This window comes from Homo sapiens, chromosome 9 (assembly GCF_000001405.40).
Source record: "Homo sapiens chromosome 9, GRCh38.p14 Primary Assembly".
In the NCBI taxonomy this organism is placed as follows: Eukaryota; Metazoa; Chordata; class Mammalia; order Primates; family Hominidae; genus Homo; species Homo sapiens.
Genome location: NC_000009.12, coordinates 73,681,969 through 73,686,318, shown reverse-complemented (window position 1 = coordinate 73,686,318; position 4,350 = coordinate 73,681,969). Strand labels below are relative to the sequence as shown.

Genomic DNA, 4,350 nt, shown 5'->3' with positions numbered 1-4,350 from the left:
TCAGACTTTCATGTCTGGATTATTTTGCTTTGCTATTTTGTGAGATTTATTCATATCATTGTGAGTAGCAGTTCTTTTCCTTCTACTATATTTTTATATGAACATGCAGCAACATATTATGCATTTTCTTGTTGTATTTTATTTTATATTTTTAGAGATGGGATCTCACTCTGTTACCCAGGCTTGAGTGCAATATTGCAATCATAGCTCATTGCTGCCTTAAACAACCGGGCTCAAGGGACTCTCCCACCTCACCCTCCTCATCTGGGACTACAAGCACTGCCATCATGTCTGACTAATTTTTAAAACTATTTTTAAAGATGATAGGGGAGTCTCACTATGTTGCCTAGGCTGGTCTCAAGCTCCGGGCTTCAGGCAATCCTCCCATCTCAGTCTCTTGAATAGCTGGAATTACAGACGAGAGCCACTGTGCAGGGCACATTTTATTTTTGATGAATATTTGTATTGTTTATGCATTTTAGCTACAGTACATGAAGTTACTTTGAATATGTCTTTATATGTTTTCAGTGGACAATAACTTTCATTTCATTTGGATATTTACATACAAGTGGAATTGCTAGGTCACTAGATAAGCATATCTTTAACTATAAGTGATCCTGCCAATACGTTTTTCAAGGTAATTATACTAACTTATTCTCCATTATTGGTGGGTGCAAGTTCCAGTGGTTCATTAAATTCAGCTTTTTCAGTTTTTGCAAAAAAATTTGTGGTCATTTTCAGTGAGAATGTAGTAATATATTTATTATGAGTGGTTTTTTTTTTTTGGTTTGTTTTTGGGTTTTTTTTTTTTTTTTTTTTTTTTTAAGACAGAGTCTTGCTTTGTTGCCCAGGCTGGAGTGCAGTGGCACGATCTCGGCTCACTGCAACCTACACCTCCCAGTTTCAAGTGATTCTTCTGCCTCAGCCTCCCAAGTAACTGGGACTACCACCATGCCCGGCTAATTTTTGTATTTTTAGTAAAGACGGGGTTTCACCATATTGGCCAGGCTGGTCTTGAACTCCTGATCTCATGATCCACCCACATCGGCCTCCCAAAGTGCTGGGATTACAGGCATGTGCCACTGCGCCCGGCCTATTATGTGGTTTTGATTTGAATTTTCTTAACATCTTACAATATTAATCACCTTTTCCTGTGTTTGTTATTTGTAAAGTACCCTTTTCCAGTCTTCTTAAAAATAAATTAGCAGCGATCCAAATTGGTGATGTAGATGCAAGCTGGCTTCACCCACTCCACCCCACAGAAAACCAAAACCAAATACACATCAGTGAAGTTATCACCAGCCATATCCCAGAACTCAAATATTAGGATGAATCAGTTCCCTGGGCTGCAGAGGAGTGAAAAATACTCCAAGAAGACAGTCAAAGAATAGGATTTTCATATCCATGACACCCCTTCTGCCAGTCTACCTGGCCCCAAGCATGCGGAAAATTTCCTTGACTCATGATTTCTACACTGGAAAAAGTGAGATAAAGGTGGACAACCAGATTACTCACCATCTTGTGTTCCCTGGCAGGAGATCTGTTCATGCCTCAACCACGGGAAGCATGCCCGAGGGGAGAGAAAGCCCTGAAGACAGCTAGAGACAAAGTTGGGAGGTGGGACTACCATCCCCAGCATGGGAAATACTGCTCTGTAACTAGGCTAAAGGAGACACCAAATAAGAGTGGCTGTTCACTAACACCAGGGTGTAGAAGGTATGTTCCACAAATCCCCTGGGCACAAACCCCTAGCCAACCTTTTAACACTGCTGGTGATAGAGACAGGAGGCAGCCAAATGCCACTCAGGTCATTGTGCACAGGGGGCTTGCCTAAACATGCCCAGGGTACAAAATTCTGTCTCTTAACTCATGCACAGTAAAGTAAATAAATCAATGTTGAGTGACTCAGAGTAAAGGCCCACCTACACACTGGGAGAATGGGGTGGAGCCACCTGAAATTTACCCCTTATGAAGGGAGGAGAAGCCTGGCCCCTTCAGCTCCTGTGTGGTGGCCTGGTATTCCATCTGTGAGTTGGGAGCCTGTTGGCAGTACCCTCTCTTTTTTTGCTGAGAGCTTTCTTTTAATAAATTCTGCTTTCTTCACCTTTCAATGTGTCTGTATTCTTAATTTTTCCTGGTCATGAGACAAGAACCCAGATTTTAGCTGAGCTAGAGAAAAATCCTGTATCATTGGGATGTCCCCTTTGGGATCTCATCCATTCCAGCAGGGCAGTGCTCTAATTGTTTGCTAAAGCTGAAGCAAACCTGGACTTAAGATGCCATCTAGTGCCAAAAAGGAGGCAGTGACCTAGTGGAAAAAATACAAGAAATTCAATGGGTAAATTAAGAATTTTTAAGCAAACACTTCAAATAAAAATTTAAACAAGCCAATTAAAAAATCTGGAATAAGTAATTAATTTTTCAATGCAAATGCATAGACACACACCCACTAGAAGCATCAGCAAACAATGAACCATGACCTCCACAAACAGACAAAGCAAGGAACAAGTGACTAACTTATGAACTCTCTGACCCAAAATTCAAAACAGCAGCTGTAAGAAAACTTGGTGATCTCCAAGATAAAACAGAAAAGTAATTGAGAAACTTATCAGAAGGATTTAACAAAGAGATTGAAATAATTTTCAAAAATCAAACAGAAATCTCAGAACTGAAAATTTATTTGCTGGACTGAAAAATTTATTGGAGGCTCTCAATAGTAGAACAGATCAACAAGAGGAAAGAGTCACTGAGCTCAGCCAGGCTATTTGAAATTACATCATCAGAGGAGAAAAAAGGAATGAAAAGAAACAAAGATTACCTACAGAATATAGGAAATTACTTCAAAAGACTATACCTGAGAATTATTGGTATTCGAAACAAAGTTGAGCAAGAGCACTTGGTAGAAAGCTTATGCCAAAAAAAGAGAAAAAAACTTTCCAAAACTTGATAAAAATATAAATATCTAGGTACAGGAAGATCAGAGAACACCAAACAGATTCAACCCAAATAAGACTATCCCAAGGCATGTAATAATCAAAATCTCAAAGGTTTTTCAAATAAGACTATCCCAAGGCATGTAATAATCAAAATCTCAAAGGGACAAACAGTTGATTCTAAAAGCATCAAGAAAAAAAGCAAGTAACATATAAAAGAACTCCAATTTGTCTGGCAACAGACTTTTCAATGAAAACTATGTGGGTCAGGAGGGAGGAAAAACATTTCCAAACTGCTGAAAGAAAAGAAAAAAAAAAAACCTGTCACCCAAGAATGCTTTATCCAACAAACCTATTCTTCAGTTATGAAGACAAGATAAAGTATTTCCCAGACAAACAAAAGCTAAGATAATTTACCACACCAGACCCTTCTTACAAGGAATGCTAAAGGGAGTTATTCAATCTTAAAGAAAGCAAAACTAACATGCAAGGAGGAAACATTTGGAAACATAAAACCCACTGGTAAAATTAAGTAGACAACCTAAGAATAATCTAATATTGCAATTGTGCTGTGTAATCTACTCATAACTCCAGTATAAAGCCTAAAAAGCAAATCTATAGAAAACAATAGCTACAGGAACATGTTAAGAGACAGGCAATATAAAAATATGTAAATTGAGATAACCAAAGGTCGAAATGTGGTGGAGATGAACCTAAAGTATATAATTTTTTTAGCTTCTTGTTTGTTTCTGATTTTTTGAGATCTAAAATAAATGATCATATTTTTAAAAGATTTTGTTTTAAGAGGATTTTTATAAGCCACAGATGCAAAAACCTATAATAGATTCACTAAAAATAAAAAAAATCATACTGCCAGACAAAATCAAAACATACTGCCAGAGAAAATCACTTAACCACAAAGGATCACTGTGGGAAGGAAAGAAAGGAAGAGAGGAGTTACTAAACAACTGAAAAACAAGTAAGAAAATGGCAGTAGTAAGTTGTTACTTATATATAATAACAATGAATGTAAATTAACTCATTTTTCTATTAAAAGACACAGAGTGGCAGAATGAATAAAGAAACAAAATTCATGTTTCTTATGTCATATGTGGCCTGCAAGAAACTCACCTCACTTATAAAGACACACATAGACAGAAAAGAAAGGGGTGGAAGAAAAGGATATTCCATGCAAGTAGAAAGCAAAAAAGAGAAGGGGTAGCTATACTTAGACAAAATAGACTAAAGTTAAAGACTAAAAAGAGACAGAAATGGTCACTCGATAATGATAAAGGAGTCAACAATACAGCAGGAGGAGATATGACAATTATAAATATCTATACACCCAAGACCAGAGTACCCAACTATATAAAGCAAACATAAATCAATCTAAAGGCAAGATAGAGTACAATATAAT

At 37.2% G+C, this 4,350-nt stretch overlaps 1 annotated feature.

Moving 5' to 3' along the window:
* Nucleotides 974-2,173: an enhancer, noted in NCBI's record as "MED14-independent group 3 enhancer chr9:76299062-76300261 (GRCh37/hg19 assembly coordinates)". NCBI's record gives its function as "activates an origin of replication core promoter dependent on BRD2, BRD4, P300/CBP and CDK7 cofactors, and independent of MED14, by STARR-seq in HCT116 cells {active_cell/tissue: HCT116}" and the evidence as "EXISTENCE:reporter gene assay evidence [ECO:0000049][PMID:35650434]".